At 52.3% G+C, this 21,272-nt stretch overlaps 2 protein-coding genes and 1 long non-coding RNA gene across 6 annotated transcripts in view, besides 6 other annotated features; 1 reads left to right on the top strand and 2 right to left on the bottom strand.

Annotated features, from left to right (window-relative positions):
* TGIF2-RAB5IF (TGIF2-RAB5IF readthrough) overlaps window positions 1-19,555 on the bottom strand; it is a 38,043-nt gene extending 18,488 nt beyond the window's left edge. The window contains exons 1-2 of the mRNA NM_001199535.2: window positions 19,435-19,555; window positions 15,104-15,329 (exon numbers count right to left, since the gene is read on the bottom strand). Of these exons, the coding sequence (NP_001186464.1) occupies window positions 15,104-15,295 (192 nt within the window). The 5' untranslated portion in view covers window positions 15,296-15,329; window positions 19,435-19,555. The remainder of the gene's footprint in view (window positions 1-15,103; window positions 15,330-19,434) is intronic.
* Window positions 120-20,606, bottom strand: TGIF2 (TGFB induced factor homeobox 2). Of its 4 annotated transcripts, none has more exons than NM_001199513.2 (3): window positions 20,546-20,606; window positions 15,104-15,329; window positions 120-3,160 (listed from the first exon to the last, which is right to left on the bottom strand). In NM_001199513.2, exons 2-3 carry the CDS (start codon window positions 15,293-15,295, stop codon window positions 2,639-2,641), a joined length of 714 nt encoding a protein of 237 aa, NP_001186442.1. In that variant the 5' UTR covers window positions 15,296-15,329; window positions 20,546-20,606; the 3' UTR covers window positions 120-2,638. The 4 variants fall into 4 exon arrangements, with proteins under 4 accessions (NP_001186442.1, NP_068581.1, NP_001186443.1 ...); NM_021809.7 differs by lacking the exon at window positions 20,546-20,606 and adding an exon at window positions 20,325-20,473; NM_001199514.2 differs by lacking the exon at window positions 20,546-20,606 and adding an exon at window positions 20,418-20,473.
* Window positions 1,663-2,541: an enhancer, noted in NCBI's record as "H3K27ac-H3K4me1 hESC enhancer chr20:35219932-35220810 (GRCh37/hg19 assembly coordinates)". NCBI's record gives its function as "activates a minimal SCP1, AML or CMV promoter by ChIP-STARR-seq in primed H9 embryonic stem cells {active_cell/tissue: H9 hESC(primed)}" and the evidence as "EXISTENCE:reporter gene assay evidence [ECO:0000049][PMID:30033119]".
* Window positions 4,111-4,739: an enhancer, noted in NCBI's record as "H3K27ac-H3K4me1 hESC enhancer chr20:35217734-35218362 (GRCh37/hg19 assembly coordinates)". NCBI's record gives its function as "activates a minimal SCP1, AML or CMV promoter by ChIP-STARR-seq in primed H9 embryonic stem cells {active_cell/tissue: H9 hESC(primed)}" and the evidence as "EXISTENCE:reporter gene assay evidence [ECO:0000049][PMID:30033119]".
* Window positions 7,603-8,592: an enhancer, noted in NCBI's record as "OCT4-NANOG-H3K27ac-H3K4me1 hESC enhancer chr20:35213881-35214870 (GRCh37/hg19 assembly coordinates)". NCBI's record gives its function as "activates a minimal SCP1, AML or CMV promoter by ChIP-STARR-seq in naive and primed H9 embryonic stem cells {active_cell/tissue: H9 hESC(naive and primed)}" and the evidence as "EXISTENCE:reporter gene assay evidence [ECO:0000049][PMID:30033119]".
* Window positions 20,117-20,286: a silencer, noted in NCBI's record as "silent region_12875". NCBI's record gives its function as "represses an Ori minimal core promoter by ATAC-STARR-seq in GM12878 lymphoblastoid cells {active_cell/tissue: GM12878}" and the evidence as "EXISTENCE:reporter gene assay evidence [ECO:0000049][PMID:35858748]".
* Window positions 20,357-20,446: a silencer, noted in NCBI's record as "silent region_12874". NCBI's record gives its function as "represses an Ori minimal core promoter by ATAC-STARR-seq in GM12878 lymphoblastoid cells {active_cell/tissue: GM12878}" and the evidence as "EXISTENCE:reporter gene assay evidence [ECO:0000049][PMID:35858748]".
* Window positions 20,477-20,796: a silencer, noted in NCBI's record as "silent region_12873". NCBI's record gives its function as "represses an Ori minimal core promoter by ATAC-STARR-seq in GM12878 lymphoblastoid cells {active_cell/tissue: GM12878}" and the evidence as "EXISTENCE:reporter gene assay evidence [ECO:0000049][PMID:35858748]".
* Window positions 20,795-21,272, top strand: part of DLGAP4-AS1 (DLGAP4 antisense RNA 1) — a 65,574-nt gene continuing 65,096 nt past the window's right edge. The window contains exon 1 of the long non-coding RNA NR_109939.1: window positions 20,795-21,158. This is a non-coding gene — a long non-coding RNA (DLGAP4 antisense RNA 1). The remainder of the gene's footprint in view (window positions 21,159-21,272) is intronic.

Raw genomic sequence — 21,272 nt, 5'->3', positions numbered from 1 at the left:
CAGAACTCACAGCTGGCTACTAGAGGGAGAGTAAAAGATGTAAAGCAAAATAAGAAGCCAGTGACTGCTTTGTCTTCAAGCCTGGGCCCTGAGCCCTGGTGGATCAATCAAGAACCCTGTTTCTGCTTAAAAAAACAAAAAAAAATTTTATTTGACAAAAGACAAAAAAGTTATTTACAGTAGTTTTTGCTCAAATAATTCAATGGGACAACTGTGCTTCTCCTCCAGGTTTATCTTACAACCAAACCCAAGCAGAGTCTGCCCTACCCAACACCCCATTTTACATAATGGGGAAATGCCAACCAGAATTCAGCAGCATGGCTCCCTCACCACCCTCCATTGCTCAGTGCACTGTGGGGAGGGAAAATCCCACCTCAGCCCAATACACTTCCAGAGTTCCCTACTACAGGCATCCTGCAGCAGTTGCACCAGACCTGGGCTCACTGACAGGGCTGGGATGGAAGAGGCTGGGCAAATGGCAGCATCAGTTAACCTGGATGAAGCCATGTTCATTCTTCCCCACTGGGCCTCAGGAGGGTGAGGATCCCTGATCCCCCTGGGGCACACGGGGAGAGGGCACGGGAGGAAGAAGCCAGAGGGAGGCAACACAGAGAGCCCAGGAAACTTGCCCACCTAGAGAGAGCAAAGCTCCCTCTCCTTCAGCGATCCGTTCACACTCCCACAGCAACAGATGGGCGACTCAGAAGTTGGGGAGCCTCTGTGATGGCTTCAGGGATCTTCCCAGAAAGTACAGAACACATGTTACTGTCTTTCTCCTGGCTAGATCCACCCACCCAAGTTAGTCAGTATCCAGGAACCTTTTCTCCTTGTGCCTGACCTGGTGATTTCAGGAAAACTAAAGGCTGTCGTCCTGATCTATCTTTTGGCCCAGTGACACTACTCAGGACAAAAATATTTTGGCTAGCAATAACCTAGGATTAGTGTTTCTTAGGATATATAAAGATGGGGCATATTGTTGAACACTGTCAGCAATGAAACAGCAAAAGAGGCTGGGCGTGGTGGCTCACGAGGTCAGGAGTTCCAAGACCAGCCTGGCCAAGATGGTGAAACCCCGTCTCTACTAAAAGCCAGACATGGTGGCGGGTGCCTATAATCCCAGCTACTCGGGAGGCTGAGGCAAATAATTGCTTGAACCCGGGAGGCGGAGGTTACAGTGAGCTGAGATCGCACCACTGCACTCCAGCCCGGGTGACAGAGCATGACTCTGTCTCAAAAAAACAAACAAACAAACAAAAAACAAAAAACAAAACAGCAAAAGAAAAAATGGGGGAAAGGGAGGAGCATAAGACCAATCGTTATCTGTTCACTGGGCAGGGGCTTCTGTAATTCTAATTTAAAGAAAGGTGAAACAAAGACAATCCCAGCTAGGAGGCTTCTAACCCTTTTCCAGCCCCACCTTCTCTGAAGGCAGTTCCTCCGCAGCAGTGGACACCATTCCTGCTTTCCCCAAAGTTTCCTGCCACCATTGTGGGAAAAGCTGCCTCTCTGGAGGACTTCCTGACCAGCAGATGGCTCACTTTTCTCCCAAGTAGGAGGTGCTGGGAGCTTCTGACATATGGGCCCCTCTAATCCAAGTTGCTAAAAGAATTCAAAACTGAGGCTGCAGGGCAAAAGTGTTCAAGAACAAAGGGAAAAACACTAAAGAAAAAAAAGAAAAAAAAAATCCATCGCTTCAGTCTAGTTTACTTCCCCCACCCACCCAAAAAAACTACAATAAAAATTAAAAGAAAAACCAAACACCTTTTGATCTTATCTTTCTCTGCTAGGTGCCTAGAAAGTTGAGTCAGAGTCTGCTGGACTGCCCCCTGCTGTGGCTTTCTACCCTTCTGTGCCTGCGGCAGACAAGCCAATGCGCTCATACGGTTGTTTTTTTTTTTTTTCCCTGCCTTTTTTTTGGTAAACCAAACCAATGATAAAACAACCATTTGGAATTTCACACTACTGCAGAGACTTAGCTGGTCCCCAAGATAAAAATATTCCTTTCTTCCAAAACAATCCTCAGTGGCAGTGGTGGGTCCTTCCCAGCTCACCAGAACGCTATCATGCAGTGCACTCTCGTTCCCCACACCTGGGCTAACTACTGCCGTGAATGCAAACCACAGCAAAAAAGGGAAAAAGAAAACAGTTTAGCAAAAATCTAAACATTCAACTGGAGTCGGTTCTGTTACATCCACTGGGTTCCTCTTTTCTTTTGTTCACGCATATGAACTTGGAATGTCCACACCTGGCTTGACAGAAACAGCACAGGGGCAGCTTGGACCCAACATAGGACTGAATTTGGCAGCTTTCCTGAGCCCAGCCCAGGAAACCAGGCTGGAACAAAGGTGTCCCAGGGATTTTCTGGAGAAGCAGCAGAAGCAGCAGCACCATGCTTGTCTCCGATCTCTTGGTCTCATCACTGAGCGGAGGCCTGGAGAAACGGCAGAGTCAGCAGAGGAGAGGGCCCCCATCACAGTGCAGTGGTGCCAGCTGGCATCTTCCTGTTGAAGACCTCTGGACAGAGGAGATGATCCCAATGTTTGGCAGTGATCCATAGAAAACCCTCTGTATGAAAGGGAACCAAAACGGAAACCCAGGACAGCTGGCTGGAGCCTTCAGCACCCTTCTTGGCAGATGCCTACTGGGGATTTTCAGAGACTAAAGGGATGGGAGTGTGCAGTAATGGGAGTGATGGGTCCTGCTGCTTCTGAAGCTCCATCTCAGCAGCCCTCTGTAGCGCCACCTCCACCAGCAGCTGGAAGCTGCTGAAGTCCTCTTTGTCCTGCTCTGGGGGTGTGGGTGGTGGCGTGTTGAAGAGTCCACCTGTGGGGCTTCCAGCCTCAGCCCTGGTCAGCAGAGTAAGTGTGCTACCAGGGGTCACCAGGGGCTTGGGAGACTCCAGCTCCCCACGTGGGAAAGGGGCTGCTGGCTTTTCCCCCTGGCCTGAGTGAAGCGGCATGGAGCACACAGACAGGGAGAGCACATTGGTGGGGGCTGGGACAGACACAGCCAGCACTGAGGGGCTGCTGCCACGGGGGAGGGCCACATCTGAGGCCTTACCCCCGCGGCGGGAAATGGTAAACTGATTAGGGTCTTTGCCATCCTTCCGAAGCATGTCTGGGAGAAGCCGCCGCCGGGCATTGATGAACCAGTTACATATCTGGAATGAATATACAAGACCGATCAATTTGCTTAATCTAAAACAGCTATGGGCTGGGCACAGTGGCTCACACCTGTAATCCCAACACTTTGGGTGGCCAAGGCGGGAGGATTGCTTAAGCCCAGGAGTTCAAGACCAGCCTGGGCAACACAGGGAGACCCTGTTTCTACAAAAGAAGTTAGCCAGGTGTAGTGGTGCACCCCTGTGGTCCCAACTACTTGGGAGCCTGAGATCGGAAGATAGCTGGAGCCCAAGAGGTGGAGCCTGCAATGAGCTATGATCGCACCACTGGATTCCAGTCTAGGCAATAGAACAAGATACTGTTTCAAAACAAACCAAAACAAACAGCTATGAAGCACTTACTATGTCTCAGGACCCCAGAACATGGAAGAAAACACAGAGGTTCATAGTGGGAAGACAGAGTTAAATAAGAACACACACCAACCTGGCCAACATAGTGAAACCCTGTCTCTACTAAAAATACAAAAATTAGCTGGGCATGGTGGCAGGCACCTACAATCCCAGCTACTTAGGAGGCTGAGGCAGGAAACTTGCTTGAACCTGGGAGGAGGAGGTTGCAAACTGCCATTTGTCTCCTACTGCCTACAGGATCAAGTCCAGACTCCAGAGCCCGGACATGAAGACCCTCCCCCGGCTGGGCACGGTGGCTCACACCTGTAATTCCAGCACTTTGGGAGGCCGAGGTGGGCAGATCACTTGAGCCCAGGGATTCGAGACCAGCCTGGGCAACATGGTGAAACCACATCTCTACAAAAATACAAAAAAATCAGCTGTTGTGATGGCATGTGCCCTATAGCCCCAGCTACCCAGGAGGCTGAGGTGGGAGGATCACCTGAGGCCAGGGAGGCAGAGACTGCAGTGAGCCGTGATAATGCCAGTGCACTCCAGCCTGGAGAGTCAGGCTGGGTGCTGCAGCTCACGCCTGCAGTCCCAGTACTTTAGGAGGCCAAGGTGGGCGGATGGCTTTCGCTCAGGAGTTCCAGACCAGCCTGGTCAACATGGCAAAACCCTGTGTCTACAAAAAGTACAAAAATTAGCTGGGTATGGTGGTGCGTGTCTGTAGTCTCGGCTACTTGCGAGGCTGAGGTGATAGGATCAATTGAGCCCAGGAGTTTGAGGCTGCAGTGAGCTGTGACTGTGCCACTGTACTCCAGCCTGGGTGACAGCGTGAGACCTTGTCTCAAAGAAAAAAAAAGTCGGTCGAGCGTGGTGGCTCACGCCTGTAATCCCAGCATTTTGGGAGGCCGAGGTGGGCAGATCACGAGGTCAGGAGTTTGAGACCAGCCTGGCCAACATAGTGAAACCCCGTCTCTACTAAAAATACAAAAATTAGCCGGGTGTGGTGGCACGCGCCTGTAGTCCCAGCTACTTGGGGGGCTGAGGCAGGAGAACTGCTTGAACCCGGGAGGCAGAGGTTGCAGTGAGCCATGACCACGCCATTGCACTCCAGCGTGGGTAACAGAGTGAGACTCCGTCTTAAAAAAAAAAAAAAAAGTCAAGTTAGAGCTTCTCACCTTCCTGCTGCTCTTCAAGGCTTCTTGCTCATTCAAATATTATTTGAGTGCCTGGTATATTGGGCCCAGTTCTCAGTGCTGGGATGCCTTTGTGAATTAAACAGACATGCACTCCACCCTGTGGAGCTTATAGTGCACCTAGTCATGGAGACTGACTATTAACCATTAGGTGAATAACCACCAACAAGCCCCCAACAGAAACAAGAATAAAGGGGGCATTATAAAGATAAGAGAAACTCCCATAGCTAAGGGTTCTGGAAGGCTGAGACATAAGGATTAGAAGAGCTAGCCATACAGAAAGCTAAGAATGTTCTAGACAATTCCAAGGAAAGGCCCTGGCCGTGGGGTTCTCATCTGCCCTCCTTCACCTCTATGGTCCTCCAATGCAACTGAACTGAGGCAGGAAAGGGTTGGCTTAAGGAACCGGTGAATGGTAGCTGATGAGCTCAGAGGTGGACAGGGCTGACAACCAGGCCAGAGCACCATGGAAAACCATTAAGTGGTCTAAACGGTGGCTTGACTGAAATTTCACACTCTAGGTCCTTCTTCTGGTCCTGTCTTTTCTCCTAACCTAGCTAACTGCAGCTGCATCTATTCCACAGGTGACTCAAAGACAGCACCAGGCTGTCGGGCTGGAAGGCTCATAGGCAGGGCAGAGCCAGAAGCTTCTGTGGCCCTTCTCTCCCATTCCATTCCAGCCAGGAGGGGCCCTGGCTCTGGGGTCCTTATTTGCCCCTCTTCACCACTATGGTGCTCCAATGCACACACATACCAACAGGCTTCAGTGGACGCTGGTTGAGCTGAATCCTGACTAGAGCTGTGGGAAAACCCTAAAGAGAGGAAGGGCTTAGCAGGGTGTGGTGGCATGTGCCTGTAGTCTCAGCTACTCAGGAGGCTGAGAGAACTGCTTGAACCCACAAGGCAGAGGTTGCGGTGAGTCAAAATTGCGCCACTGCACTCCAGCCTGCGCGACAAAGCAAGACTCCATCTCAAAAAAAAAAAAAAAAAAAAAAAAAAAAGAAGGAAGGGCTCAACAGCTAGGTGGGATGAAGGAAGGGAACAAACTTACTCAAACACCTTTGATAGCAGTATCATGCCAGCCACCTCACTTGCATTATGTTTAATCTGCATACAAGCCTGGAGGGTAGAGGGCAGTGTCCCCAAAGTACTAGAGAGAACTGAGCTCAATGAGAAGAAAGCTCTTGTCCAGTCACACATCTTCCCAGTGCAGAGCTGGGATTTAAAACCAGGCCTCCTGGCTTTAGGGCCTCCACTGCTTTGCTGTGCTTTTTTTTTTTTTTTTTAAAGACAGGGTCTCACTCTGTCACCCAGGCTGGAGTGCAGTGGTGGAATCACAGTTCACTGTAGCCTTGACCTCCTGGGTTTAGGTAATTCTCCCACCTCAGCCTCCCGAGTAGCTGGGACCACAGACATGTGCCACCATGCCCAGGTACTTTTTTTTTGGTATTTTTTGTAGAGATGGGGTTTCCCCATGTTGGCCAGGCTGGTGTCAAACTCCTGAACTCAAATGATCTGCTCACCTCAGCCTCCCAAAGTGTTGGGATTACAGGTGTGAGCCACCACGCCTGGCCTCAGGCACTATTCACATTTCATATCTAATTATTCATTCAATCTCAGCCTATCACACAGGTTATATGATGATCTCCCTTGAAGAAACAGATCGGAGAGGTTCAGAAACTTGTTGAAGGTCACAAGTGCAAAAGCTGGGTTTGATCCAGACAGCCTGGTTCTGGGCAGCCACCCCACTGCCAGCTGAAGAGTGAGAGGGAGTCTTCCTTGCACAGGAGCAGTGCCTGTGTCCTTCTCTCCCTCCCTCCCACAGCTGCCTCCTCCCATACCTGTGCTGCAGGAGTACACTGCCCCTCTCCACCTCAGCCCTGGATGCAGGGGAAAAATGGGCAGGTCACAGTGACCTGGGTCAAGCAAAGTAAGGAGTGTTGTTGAGCAGGCAGCCTCATGGAGGGCAGTCTGGGCATTTCTCAGCATCTGTGTGGGCACCTAGCCCCTAAAGGCACTTCCCACTTTGGCTGAGGGTTCAAGAACAGAAAAACACCCCTCCACACACTCCCCCACAAGACTGTCCTGTCCAGATCACTTGGCAGCCTAGCATCTGTCTGTTTTGTCTTCTTAGCCCAGAAAAATGCACAGCTGAGGGGCTGGGCAAGGCAACGCGGGGGGACTGAGTGGCTGCCAGTGCCCCTTCTGCAGCCCTTCCAGCTGCCCAGCCTGTGCCTAAGTCAGGAAAAGAACCTGTGACTTGTCTCCACTCAAGGTCCTTGGGGAGATGGTAGGAAGAAGGTCAAAGTGAACTCTGTGATGTATATGGCAAAACACAGGCTGGGAACCGGAAAGCCGGTCTCTACCATAAAACAGGGCTCTATCTGAGAGGCTGCTGAGGAACAAGGGAGGAATCACTGTGGCAAATGGGGGTGGGAGGAACACCAGGAGGCTGACAAAGGCTGTGATGCTGGGAGCAGCAGCTAATGAATGCAGGCAGAAACCCTCTCATTTTTGTGTCAAGGAAGCAAAGGCACTGAGGCGCCTTTCCCAAACATCATGGTACCACCATTCACACTGAGACTACCATATCCAGGTGCTCTTGAAGGCAGCTCTCTGTATTAGAATCACCTTAGGGGAGATTTTTTTTTTTGGGGGGGGGGAAATGGAGTCTCACTTCTTTGCCCAGGCTGGAGTGCAATGGTGCGATCTCAGTTCACTGCAACCTCCGCCTCTCGGGTTCAAGCAGTTCTCCTGCCTCAGCCTCCCAAGTACCTGGGATTACAGGCACACGACAACATGCCCAAGTAATTTTTGTATTTTTAATAGAGACAGGGTTTCACCGTGTTGGCCAGGCTGGTCTCAAACTCCTGACCTCAAGTGATCTGCCCGCTTTGGCCTCCCAAAGTGCTGGGATTACAGGCAGAGCAACCACACCCAGCCTGGGAGAGATTTTTAAAAACTGTTAGTGATTTCCCCCTCTGCTTTATTGATCTAGTGGGGGTGAGGGGTGGAGTTGGCAATGTGTTTTCAGACCAGCTACCCAGAAAGTCTGGCCGCCCAGGCTTAGGAACCAATGGTTTAGCCTACTGGTTACTTGTCCTTGCAGGCCAAGCCCTTTATTTAAGCCAAAAAGCTTACACAGAAGTTCAAAAAACATACACACAGATGAAAGGCCTTGAGATGGGGAAAAATAGAAGTTGCCTGTGGGAGGAATCAGAGGGCAGCTAGCTTTGGAGCCAGAGGAGAGCAGCTCCTACATCCCTGGCTGCCCTGGGGGCTAGGCCAGGACACTCCTCCCCCACAGCTGACCACTACAGCCTCTGCACCAGGTTCCTTTCTCACCCAACAGCCCTCGCCAGGGGGACTGCTGCCCCTGCCCCGGTATGGGCTTTGGGAAGGCTTCCCTCAGGAAACTGCATATGAAAGGAGTCCTGACAGCCAGGAAGTAATGGGAAGGTACCCATTCTACCACTGTATACCCAGCACAGAGTCCCGGGCCTGGCACGTGGTATATCCCCAACCATTGTTACAGTAAAGGATTGGGGCCCAGAACCCTGCCAGGTAGCCACAGATCTAGTCCAACCAATAAATTGGGCTTAGAGGATGTCGAAGGGACCTGTGAAAATCCTTTACAAACTACTTTTTTCCCTAACCCTCCCAACTGCCTAGCCCCAGGCAAGTACCAGCAAACCAGTTAGTTGAGTCATTGACTTGCTAATGAATCGCTCCTGGGAGGGTTAAAGGAGACAATCAAAAGAGATGTCCCCAGGGAGAGATAAAACAAGCTTGGCAAAATGTTGATACTTGTTCAAGCCGAGTGACTGGTGCTGGTGGTTGATTATTATATTCTCTTACTTTTGTGGAGTTTTTTTTTTTTTTTTTTTTTTTAAAGACAGAGTCCCGTTCTGTAGACCAGGCTGGAGTGCAGTGGCATGATCTTGGCTCCCTGCAACCTCCACCACCCCCGGGTTCAAGTGATTCTCCTGCTTCAGCCTCCCGAATAGCTGGGACTATTTTTAGTAGAGACGGGGTTTCACCACATTGGTCAGACTGGTCTACAACTCCTGGCCTCAAGTGATACACCCGCTTCAGCCTCCCAAAGTGTTGGGATTACAGGCGTGAGACACTGTGCCTAGCTTTTTTCTCTTTTTTTTTGAGATGGAGTTTCACTCTTGTTGCCCAGGCTGGAGTGCAATGGCAGGATCTCGCTCACGGCAATCTCCACCTCCTAGGTTCAAAAGTGATTCTCCTGCCTCAGCCTCCTGAGTAGCTGGGAGTACAAGCATGCGCCACCATGCCCAGCTAATTGTCTATTTTTTAGTAGAGATGGGGTTTCTCCGTGTTGGTCAGGCTGGTCCCAAACTTCCAACCCCAGGTGATCCGTTTGCCTCGGCCTCCCAAAGTGCTGGAATTATAGGTGTGAGCCACTGTGCCCAGCCTGCGTTCAGCTTTTATAGATATTCTTAAATGTCCTTAATGGAAAATGAAATTTAAAAAATTAAATACAGGAGGCCGGGAGCAGTGGCTCACGCCTGTAATCCCAGCACTTTGGGAGGCTGAAGTGAGACCACCTGAGGTCGGGAGTTCGAGACCAGCCTGGCCAAAATGGTGAAACCCTGTCTTTACTAAAACTACAAAAATTAGCTCAGCCTGGTGGCAGGTGCCTGTAATCCCAGCTACTCGGGAGGCTGGGGCAGGAGAATTGCTTGAACCTGGGCAGCAGAAGTTGCAGTGAACTGAGATTGCGCCACTGCACTCCAGCCTGGGCGACAGAGTGACTCCGTCTCAAAAAAAAAAAAAATTAATTAATAAATACAGGAAAAAATGATGCTCCCAGGCTTTAGGCTATTTTTCATGATTAGGAGCCATTACATTTCCTTACTTCTGAGGTCCTGCCTGTTGACCCTTCCACCACTTTATAGCCCTTTTCTGCCACTTCAACATTATTTACTGAGCACCTACCTACCAGATACCAAGCACTATGCTACACTAGGGCTGTAACTGTGAACACTAGGTCAGTGCTCTCCACACCTCTAGAATTTGGTGCAGTCTAAAAGCAATTACAGTTTAGTGTCCCAGTGCTGTGACCTCATCTATCTGCTGTGAGAGCATACAGCTCCTTTAGGGACTGGGAGCCTCCTGGTCAGGGGTGGGAGGAAAATGGTCTGGGGAGGTGGATCAATGTAGTGGGAATGTAGGGGACCAGGGTTGAGGTTCAAGATGTAGACACGGGCCGGTGATGTCATTAGGCTGGCAAAAGCCATTGAATTTTTTTTTCTTTTTTTTTGAGATGGACTCTTGCTCTGTTGCCCAGGCAGGAGTGCAATGGTGCAATCACAACTCACTACAACCTCTGCCTCCCGAGTTCAAGCAATTCTCTTGCCTCAGCCTCCTAAGTAGCTGGGATTACAGGTACCTGCAACCACGCCCAGCTAGTTTTTTTTTCTTTTCTTTTTTGAGACAGAGTCTCAGTCTGTTGCCCCGGCTGGAGTGCGGTGGCTCAGTCTCGGCTCATTCCAACTTCCGTTTCCCAGGTTCAAGCAATTATCCTGCCTCAGTCTCCCAAGTAGCTGGGATTACAGGCACACAGCACCACACCTGGTTAATTTTTGTATTTTTAGTAGAGACGGGGTTTCGCCATGTTGGCCAGGCTGGCCTCAAACTCCTGACCTCAGGTGACCCACCCGCCTCAACCTCCCAAAGTGCTGGGATTATAGGCATGAGCCACTGCGCCCAGCCTAATTTTTTTTATTTTTAGTAGGACAAGGTTTCACCAAGTTGGCCAGGTAGGTCTCCAACTCCTTACCTCAGGTAATCCACCCGCCTTGGCCTCCCAAAGTGCTGGGATTACAGGCATAAGCCACAGTGCCCAGCCTTTTTTTTTTTTTTCTTTTTAGAGATAGGGTCTTGCTCTGTCACCTAGGCTGGAGGGCAGTGGCATGATCATAGCTCACTGTAGCCTTGAACTCCTGGGCTCAAGAAAGTCTCCCATCCTAGCCTCCCAAAGTGCTGGGATTACAGGTATGAGTTACCCTGCCAGACCACTGAAGGTTTTTTTTGTTTGTTTGTTTGTTTTTTTTTTTTGAGACAGTTTTGCTGTTGCCCAGGCTGGAGTGCAGTGGTGCGATCTCACTGCAGTCTCGTCCTCCTGGTTCAAGTGACTCTTGTACCTTAGCCTCCTGAGTAGCAGGGGTTACAGGCATGTACCACCATGCCCGGCTATTTTTGTATTTTTAGTATTGAAGAAGTTAACCATGTTAACCAGGCTGGCCTCAAAACACCTGGCCTGGCCTCAAGCGAACTGCCTGCCTCAGCCTCCCAAAGTGCTGGAATTACAGGCACGAACCACCATGCCTGGCCTGAAGGGTTTTAAGTTGGGGAGTGATAAATGATTGTGATCAGATAATGATGGTTTAGATGAGGGTAGGAAAGAAGCCAAAACCCTGAAATATTTAAGGGGTATTTGTACAGGAGCTGGTAATTGACCAAATGAGCTGAGGGCAATGAACTAACTGGGAGGAGTTACCAGACAGGTGTGCAGCTGGGGCTGACATGGGATTCATGGTCAGTTTCCATCAAGGAGGGCTGGGTGGTCCCCACTGCTCTTAACTCTCGGCATGACTCTAGAGCAGGTGGCCACCACGGGTCCCCTCCCTCCAGGGGATGCCCAGTTTCCTTTCCTTACATTTACATTTCTCCAGGTGGGACCTGTGGATGTGTCACCTTGAGGGGTTCGCCAGTTCTCTAGAAGGATGTTTGGCTTTGGGTTTCCATTTTCATCACCAGTAGGAGCATCGGGGCCTAAGACCATCCAGATCTACTCTGCTGAGTCTGTGCCTTTGCCACACCACATCCTGCAGTGCAGTCAGCAAAGCACCACCCACCATTTTCAGTTAACACAGTCAGGTGGAATGTCACGGTTTTTACATTTATCTACTTTGGAAACAGTTTGATTTTAAGGTTAGGTATAAGAACAAAAGCAAAAAGAAGTGGTTTTTTTTTTATATATATACCCAGTTTTATGTTTTACCTAAGTGATATGATAAAAATGATTCAGGTTAACATCTTGCGGGGAGATGGGTCCATGAAAAATGTTTTCTTTATTTTTTTATTTTTTGAGACCGAGTTTCGCTCTTGTGGCCCAGGTGGAGTGTAATGGCATGATCTTGGCTCACCGCAACCTCCGCCTCCCGGGTTCAAAAGTGATTCTCCTGCCTCAGCCTCCTGAGTAGCTGAGAGTACAGGCATGAGCCACCACGTCTGGCTAACTTTGTATTTTTAGGAGAGATGGGGTTTCACCATGTTGGTCAGGCTGGTCTTGAACTCCTGACCTCAGGTGATCCGCCCGCATCGGCCTCGCAAAGTATTGGGATTACAGGCATGAGCCACCATTCCCGGCCGAAAAATGTTTTCTTTAAAAAGATGGGCCAGGCATGGTGGCTCACGCCTGTAATCCCAGCACTTTGGGAGGCTGAGGTGGACGGATTACTTGAGGCCAGGAGTACAAGACCAGCCTGGCTAGCATAGTGAAGCCCTGTCTCTACTTAAAATACAAAAATTAGCTGGGCGTAGGGGCATGCACCTGTAATCCCAGCTACTCAGGAGGCTGAGGCAGGAGAATCACTTGAACCCGGGAGGCAGAGGTTGCAGTGAGCTGACATCGCACCACTGCACTTCCAGCCTGGGTGACAGAGCAAGACTCCATCACACACACACACACAGATAAATAAATAAAAGGAGTTAGTATATTTCTCAGGTTTGAGAAAGTGTCCCTGACAAAAAGTAATTCCAATAGAGTGTGACAAGTGGTTTGACAGGACAGGGTGAGGTGCACTGGGAATATAAGCAGCAGCCCCAAACCTAGGCTGTAGATCAGTTTGGACTCTATCCTGAGGGCAGTAGAGTCCAGGAGTGCCTGGCCCTATCAGATTTGGGCTTTTGTGTTCAAAATAATGGATTAAATGAACAAGGCTGAAGGCTGAAGGCTGAAGGCAGGGAGACCCGCAAAGAGGCTGTCCAGACACTCCTCGAGGGTAAGAATGTGTCTGGAGCCTCTCTCAGATCCCAACTCTGCACAGCTCCATGCTGAGGAGGTACACTGTGAGATGCCACGCACTGCTGGGCACCCAGGATCAGCCAAAGACTTTGTGCCTTAGGCAGAGATGAAGCTGAAAACAGTAGAAACACCCACTGTATGCCAAACACTGACCAGTAGGTGTTTTTTTTGAGACCGAGTCTTGTTCTTGTTGCCCAGGCTGGAGTGCAATGCCACCATCTCGGCTCACCGCAACCTCCGCCTCCCAGGTTCAAGCAATTCTCCTGCCTCAGCCTCCCGAGTAGCTTGGATTACAGGCATGCACCACCACACCTGGCAATTTTTTTTGTATTTTTAGTAGAGATGGGGTTTCTCCATGTTGGCCAGGCTGGTCTTGAACTCCCGACCTCAGGTGATCCACCCGCCTTGGCCTCCCAAAGTGCTGGGATTACAAGTGTGAGCCACCGTGCCTGGCCTTGTTTTTTTTTTTTTTTTTTTTTTTTTTGAGACAATGTCTCACTCCTTCGCCCAGTCTGGAGTGCAGTGGTGCGATCACAGCTCACTGCAGCCTCCACCTCCAGGGCTCAAGTAATCCTTCCTCCCACTTCAGCCCCCCAAGTAGCTGAGACTACAGGTATGTACCACCATGCCCAGCTAATTTTTTTGTTTTGTACAGATGGGGTCTCCCTATGTTGCCCAGGCTGGTCTCAAACTCCTGGGCGCATGCGATCCTCCTACCTTGGTCTCCTAAAGTGCTGGGATTACAGGTGTGAGCCACTGTGAAGGGCCCCAGTGAGCCTTGAATTCTTCTTCTCGTCCCTTTCTCCCTACACTCATGAAAGTGCTACAATCACCTCCCTTTTTTCAGATGAGGGAATAATGAGGCTCACAGAGAAGGCAGTGACCTGGCCAAGGTCCAGGTTTCCTCTTGTGGAGAAGATGGAATCTGAGTCAGGATCTGTAACTTTAGAGCCTTTCTCATACAGAGACTTGGATTAACCATTGCCCAGAGTATAAAGTCAGGTGACAGGAGTTCTGAGGGCTAAAATACTTACCATGTCTCTACATGGAAGAAAGATAGGAGCTAGGAAGACGTGGGAGGTTCAGAGTGGGATAAGGGAAGGAGGGAGAGACAGCATCAAAGGTTGGAGTAATAAGCTATGAAAGGACAGAGGGGGAAAGAGAAACAGGAGAGCTTGTGGGAGAGGTTTGACTGGCTCAGGAAGGGAGCAGTGGGGGCCAGCAGGGCAGGGCTGGGCCTCTTGTATTAGGCTAAGGGCCTACTGTGTGTCTCCAGGAAGGGGAGAGGCAAACTGGAGGCAAAGCAATGGTGGTTCAGGGTCCCCCGCCTCTGCTCCAGGAAAGCAGAACAAAGACACCTGCGGGTCAGCAATAGGCGCGATTCAAAGGGGACAGTACTTTGCACTCTGACAAAAAGGGGATAAGGCTATCTTTTGAGTGTGTTCATGTGCATGGTTTGCAAAGCACTTTCACATCCAGTTCTGAATCTATTCGTCACAACAGATCCACCAGGCAGGGGAAGACTCTGTGTACCCCCTGCCCCTTTACAGATAAGGAAATCAAGACGTGAGGCAGAACTGGATTATGAACACAGAACCTCTGACTTCTGCCCTTTCCTGGACTGTGATCCTGCCCCATCTCTTAACCACACTGCAAATTACAGCTGCCCCTTTCAACCAAGTCGCCGTCCAATACTGCGTTGGGGCTGGGGGCTGAATCCTAGATGCTCGATGCCTTCTCATCTTCCCTTGGCCTCCAAAGTTAAGGATGACACCTAGACTTTGACAACATTAAATTCCTTGCCTCTTCAGAACTATCCAAAGTCTGGGCCAGGCGTGGTGGCTCACGCCTGTAATCCCAGCACTTTGGGAGGCTGAGGCGGGTGAATCACAAGGTCAGGAGTTCGAGACCAGCCTGGCCAACATGGTGAAACCCTGTCTCTACTAAAAATACAAAAAATTAGCTGGGCGTGGTGGCGGGCGCCTGTAATCCCAGCTAGTCGGGAGGCTGAGGGAGGAGAATCACTCGAACCCGGGAGGCGGAGGTTGCAGTGAGCCGAGATCGCATCACTGCACTCCAGCCCGGGTGACAGTGCAAGACTCCGTCTCAAAAAAAAAGGACTATCTAAAGTCTGAAATTGACTGCAGCGACCCTATTTCATTGTCTTCCCTTGAGACAGGGAGAGTGGGTGTTCTCCCCTAACCCAAGAAGAAACCGAAGCCCAGACAGTGAAAGTGAGTGGCCCAAGACCACAGTGACTCAGTGACACAGCTGGAATAGGACTAGAACCCAGGTCCTCCTGCCACCCCCTTATCCAGATCCCCTCCTTACTTGCAGCACTGACAGGTTGGTCTGTCCAGAAAGGCTCAGCTTCTCCTGCTCTGAGGGGTAGGCGTTGTAGCGGTGCAAGTACAGCCAGTCCCGGAGGATCTTCACCGACTCCTTGGGCAGGTTCCCCCTGCGCTTCCTTTTGCCCGCCAGGGAGAGGAGGCCTTCGTCCTCACCTAGATCACTGTCCGACATGGTGCCTAGGGGCTAGGCTGGACCTTGGGTAAACCTGGGACAAGGGACACAGGGGATGGGAACATCATTAGCACGTACCGCCTTTTCCTAGTCTCCAAACATGCTCAGCATTACTTGAGCCTGGGACACCAGAAATGGGGTAGTTGCAATTCAGAATCTCAGGCCGTAACACAGACCGAGCAAGCTAGAAGGGATGAGTCCAAAGTTCCTCCACTTCATGGAACAGGTAGGTGACTACCGAATGGCAGCTCATTCACAAGCAGGACTCAGGCTGGAAACAATTACAGCTTCTACTGAGGTCTACTGTTTTCCATGTTCGGTACTAAGCATTTGGTTTTTTCTTTTCTTTTTTTTTTTTTTTTGAGAGAGGCTCTCACTCTGTAGCCCATGCTAGAGTGCAGTGGCGCCATCTTGGCTCACTTCAACTTCTGTCTCCTGGGTTCAAGTGATTCTCCCACCTCAGCCTCTGAGTAGCTGGGATTACAGGCATGCACCACCATGCCTGGCTGACTTTCTGTATTTTTTGGTAGACACAGGGTTTCACCATATTGGCCAGGCTGGTCTTAACTGCTGGCCTCAAGAGATCTAGCAGCCTCAGCCTCCCAAAGTGCTGGGATTGCAAGCGTGAGCCACCATGCCTGGCCTGTACTGAGCATTTTACATGTTATCTCATTTAATCATTACAATTCCCCAATAAGGGAGAAGCTATTATTATCATCATTTTATAGATGAGGTAACAGAGATCAAGAAAGCTGCCCAAGGCCTGCGCAGTGGCTCACACACACACACACAAAATACAAAAATAAGCCAGGTGTCATGCTGTGCATTTGTAAGCCCACCTACTTGTGGGACTGAGGCAGAATTGCTTGAGCCCAGGAGGTCAAGGCTGTAGTGAACTGTGTTTGTGCCACTGCACTTCAGCCTGGGTGACAACAAAATAAAAAAGGTCTCAAAAAACAAAGGCCGGGCACAGTGGCTCATGCCTGTAATCCTAGCACTTTGGGAGGCCGAGGCAGGCAGATCACGAGGTCAAGAGATTGAGACCATCCTGGCCAACAGGGTGAAACCCTGTTTCTACTAAAAATACAAAAATTAGCTGGGCATGGTGGCGCGTGCCTGTAGTCCCAGCTACTCGGGAGGCTGAGGCAGAATTGCTTGAACCTGGGAGGTGGACGTTGCAGTGAGCCGAAATCGTGCCACCGCACTCCAGCCTAGTGACACAGCGAGACTCCATCTCAAAAAAAAAAAAACAAAAACAAACAAAGGCCGGACACGGTGGCTCACGCTCGTAATCCCAGCACTTTGGGAGGCCGAGGTGGGTGGCTCACCTGAGGTCAGGAGTTCGAGACCAGCCTGGCCAACATGGCAAAACCCCGTCTCTACTAAAAATACCAAAAAAAAAAAAAAATTAGCTAGGTGTGGTGGCACACACCTGTAATCCCAGCTACTTGGGAGGCTGAGGCAGGAGAACTGCTTGAACCTAGAAGGCAGAGGTTGCAGTGAGCTGAGATCATGGCATTGCACTCCAGCCTGGGTGACAGAGTGATTCCCTGTCTCAACAAAAGAAAAAAATAAAAAAATAAAATAAAATAAAAATTAGCCCAGTGTGATGGTGTGCCAGTAGTCCCAGCTATTCTGAGAGGCTGAGGTGAGAGGATCCCTTGAACCCAGGAGTTCAAGGCTGTAGTGAGCTATGATCGCACCAGTGCATGTCAACCTGGACGACATAATTAAAAACCTGTTTTCAAAAATAAAATAATAAAAAAAAAATGCCACGTGCTGTGGCTCACACCTATACTCCTGGCACTTTGGGAGGCCAAGGCAGGTGGATCGCTTGAGCTCAGTAGTTCAAGACCAGCCTGGGCAACACGGTGAAACCCCATCTCTACAAAAAATACAAAAATTAGTTGAGCACGGTAATGCATGTCTGTGGTCCCAGCTACTCTGGGGGCTGAGGTGGAAGAATCGCTTGAGCCCGGAGGCAGAGGTTGCAATGAGATGAGATCACACTACTGCCCTCCCATCTGAGAGGCAGAGCAAGACCCTGTCCCCCTATCCCCCCGCAAAAAAGTCCTAAAATTGACTATAGTGATGGTTGCAAACATACCAAACCTGCTGATGAGTATACTTTAATGGGTGAATTGCATGGTATGTGAGTTATATCTCAATAAAGCTGTAAAGGAAAAAAATCCCACCCCCAGGTTAGGATAGTGAAGTCGGATTTGGACCAGGCCTCTCCCCACCCCCTCTTGTGAGCTGTATACTGTCTTGCCTCCTAGGTCTCCCAAGGGCCAGTGAGAACTCTGGAAACTACAGATCACCATGATCCTGCAGCAGTCCAAGTAATATTTAAGGAGCACCTACTGTGTACCTTGCAGTGAGAGAGGTGAGTCATCTCTCTACTGGTTGCTTCTTGGACATTCTCCTTTGTCAGGCCCCTTTAGCCTGGTCCTAGACTCAACCACTCAAAATCCAGGTGAATGAGCAAGGCCCACCCTCCACTTGGCACTGTAACTTGGACAAGGATCCTCCCCTTTCTGGGCTTGAGTCCCCTCTTCACCTGTCAAATGAAGGAAGGATTTTCCCTAGATAACCCAACTCAGCTGCTCAGTCCCTGGACAAAGTTCTGTTTCACACGTGCAACAAAGATTTTCTTTCTTTCTTTCTTTCTTTTTTTTTTTTTGAGATGGAGTCTCGCTCTGTAGCCTAGGCTGGAGTGCAGTGGCGCAATCTTGGCTCACTGCAATCTCCATCTCCCAGGTTCAAGCAATTCTCCTGCCTCAGCCTCCCGAACAGCTGGGATTACAGGTGTGTGCCACCACATCTAGCTATTTTTTTTTTTTTAGTAGAGACAGGGTTTTGCCATGTTGGCCAGGCTAGTCTTGAACTCCTGACCTCAGGTGATCTGCCCGCCTCGGCCTCCCAAAGATCTGGGATTACAGGTGTGAGCCACCCCGCCCAGCCAGATTTTCATTTTAAAAGCAAAAGTTCTAGGCCAGGCTGATGCCAGGATCTCAAGGCTCCTCCCTTCTCAGCCTTTTAACAGCTCCCCAGCAGGCCGGCCAACAGACTCTGGCATCTCCCAGGTTTTGTTTCCTCTTCTTGGACCCGAGCCCAGATCTCTGGGCTGGCTAGGCCAGGCTTTCGAGGGAAGGGTCTACCCTTTCAGTCAGGCCACCTGGAGGTGAGACAGGCACTGGTTAGACGTGCCACTCCTCAGAGAGCACCACTGCAGGCTGCTTTCTGAGGTCAGACAGCCATTTCTAGGTGGCCAGGGCAGCTGGGATCTGGGCTCAGTGATGCAGCCCTGGCCGGCTGTGAGAAGTACTCAAGGTTATCTGTACAAATTCCACCCTGGCTGCCAGCCAAGTCTGTCTGCAGGGTTCCCCGGGTGGGCCCTGGGGAATGACCCCTCAGTCTACACAAACTTCTCCACCTCGGTGTTCCGCCACACAGGGCCATCTGTAGTCTGGGAGGCTTCCCACATATGCACCCCACACCGCACCCAGACACACTCACGCCAGGCAATTAACCAACAGCGCTAGGATAACTGGCCCGGACCCATCGCTCAAGCCTTACAAACCCTAGGGTTTTCACCGACGCATACAGCACGCACACGCACAGCTTACAGACCCCAGGCCTAGCACGAACAACTGTGACCCACACAACTAGCCCAACTTCTGTACCCGCCCACCCACGAACTCCAACCGACCCGGCCACCCCCGATCTCTCCGACAGGGAAAACTCCAGGCGTCATCACACTAACAATCAGTTCTACCCTCAGTGACCTGTGGCAGCAACCCCTCGACACAACATCCCGTACACCCTCCTACAGACTCCCACGACGCCACCTGCAGCCACTCCCGCACGAACTTTCTGACAACTCCCCTAGCTGGTCCCGACACTCCCCCGGGCCGCGCACTCACGCCCGCATTCCCAGCAGTTCAGACAAAGCGCGCAACCTCCCCCGCGGCCCAGACCGAGTCGGAGCACATGGCTCCTGGGTCGGCGAGGAATCGTCCGGCGCTCGGGGCGCTTGCACCCCACAGTCCCCACACCCCGGGCCGACTCCGCGCACCAGCTCCCGCGCGGGCCCGCCATCCCGGTGGGACGGGGGCTCTGGAAGAAAGAAAACTCACGTGTCTGTCCCGGGGCAGGAAAAAGTTTGGTTCCCACCCCTACTCCGGCAGTTCGGGGCTGGCCGACTCTTCGGGGCGCGGGGACGGCGGAGCGTGCGCGCTCGGCTTTGTGCTCCGAACTGGGCCCGGAGGGGGAGGGGAGGGGAAGGGAGGGGAGGGGGCTGGGCTCCCACCTCCGCGCCGCCCCCCCCCCCCCAGCCCTGCGCCCAGACTCCATGTTGGCCGCCCCCTGCCCCGGAGACTACGCGCTTCTCCCGCGGGAGGCTTGGATCACCTTCGGCCTGCCCGAGGGTCCCGGCGCGAACAAACTTTCTCCGGGGCGCCGGCCCCACGCGCCCCGCTTCCTTGGCCAGCCTGGGAGTGACAGATGCCTCGGAGACAGACTTTCCTTTGTTCCAAAGGAAAGGGGAACTCGCGCGGGCTCCCCAGGGCCCCCCCGCTCCGGGCCCTTCCCGCGGCCCCCACCCCCAGCTGTCACTCTCGGCCGCCCCCTGTCCGGCTCGGCGGCGGGGGGGCCCTGCTGGCGGTTAGCAACGTGCACTTTTGAAACCAAACAAATCCGTCCCCCCGCGCGCTCACTCAGGTCCGGTGCAGGATCGGCCCTCTCCTGGGGTGGGATCCTATGAAGCTGGGCCCCCCACCAGGGCCCCAAGCGGGCTTCCTCCCGGGGGCTGGAACAGTCCCCCACCGGCCCCCGGAGCGCAGCGCCGTCGGGACTCACAAACACCCCCCGGGGGCCGTCGGGACTCACAAACACCCCCGAGCTCACACACCCCCTACCGCACGCGCCAGGACGACGCCCCCTCCCCGTCCGGCCGAGAAAAAGAAACTTTCCAAGTTGTCCGCGCGCCCCCACCCCCATCTGGCCCTCTGCTGCTCCCTGCACTGACTTTTCCCAGCGGCTTTCGGGTCCACGCGGCCTCCGGCTCGGCGCGGGGCGTCCCGGCGGGGAGCGGGGGGCGCCGGGGGCGCGCGCCGCGTACCTGCCCGGCCTGACACTCGGCCTGACAGCTCGCGGCTGGAAAGCACCTCGCGGCCTGACGTCAGATCCCCTCTCCTCCCCCCGCGCCCTCTGCGCCCTCCCCCACCCGCCCGGAGGGAGAAAACAAACTTTGTGCGGAGCGCGACGAGCTGCGCCCACCCCCCGCGGGGCGGGCCGTCGGCGCCGAGGGGCTTCGCCCCGCCCAGCGCGCCCGGAGGGGGCGGGGCCGCGGGCACCTTCTTCCTGCGCCCACCCCGCCCTCAGGAATGCTGCATGGCCTACCCATAGCGGCGGTGGGAGCCTCCGCCGGGGAGAGCCCGCTCGGGGGCAGGAAGTGGCCCGGCCCTCCTCGTGGAGGGCGTTTCCGGAGCGCCTACTGTGCTCCTTGCCGGGGTGGGGGTCGTTACCGAGTGGGAACTTCTGCAAATCCTGACTTTTGTCACTTCGCGCCCCGCACAAGATGTCCTGCCGGCGGTGCGATTGGTCCCGTTGCTTCGAGGGGAAACTGAGGCCACTTAGTCCGGGCACTTACCCGCAGCTAGTTAAGGACTAGGCTCTGATGGAGACGCTTGTTACGACCTCAATGGCCTGTAGAATCTGGGAGGCCGCCTCCGACCTAAGCCCAAAAAGCACATGATCGGGCTCACAGGGGGCGGCCAGAGGTGAAAACAGCCAACGCTTTACAACGACGCTGTGCGGGGCACTTCGTGTGTGTCATCCCGTCTCATCCTCGGGTGATAGGGTATGTGTTGTCCTATGTAAGTCTCTGGCTTACTCATGAGCCGCAGAGAGGTTCTTGATTTGCTTTTGTCACACAGTCAACCGGTATCATTCAGCCCAGGTCGGTCGATAGTGA

The sequence above is a fragment of the Homo sapiens genome, chromosome 20 (assembly GCF_000001405.40).
Source record: "Homo sapiens chromosome 20, GRCh38.p14 Primary Assembly".
Classification (NCBI taxonomy): Eukaryota; Metazoa; Chordata; class Mammalia; order Primates; family Hominidae; genus Homo; species Homo sapiens.
This window is presented reverse-complemented; position numbering and strand designations above follow the sequence as displayed.

Excerpts from the sequence above, each read along its gene's own strand:
- TGIF2 (NM_001199513.2), bottom strand. The coding sequence starts at position 15,295 with ATGTCGGACAGTGATCTAGGTGAGGACGAAGGCCTCCTCTCCCTGGCG. Across the intron at positions 3,161-15,103 it reads CCAACCTGTCAGTGCTGCAA|ATATGTAACTGGTTCATCAA; the intron begins GTAAGGAGGGGA and ends TATTCATTCCAG.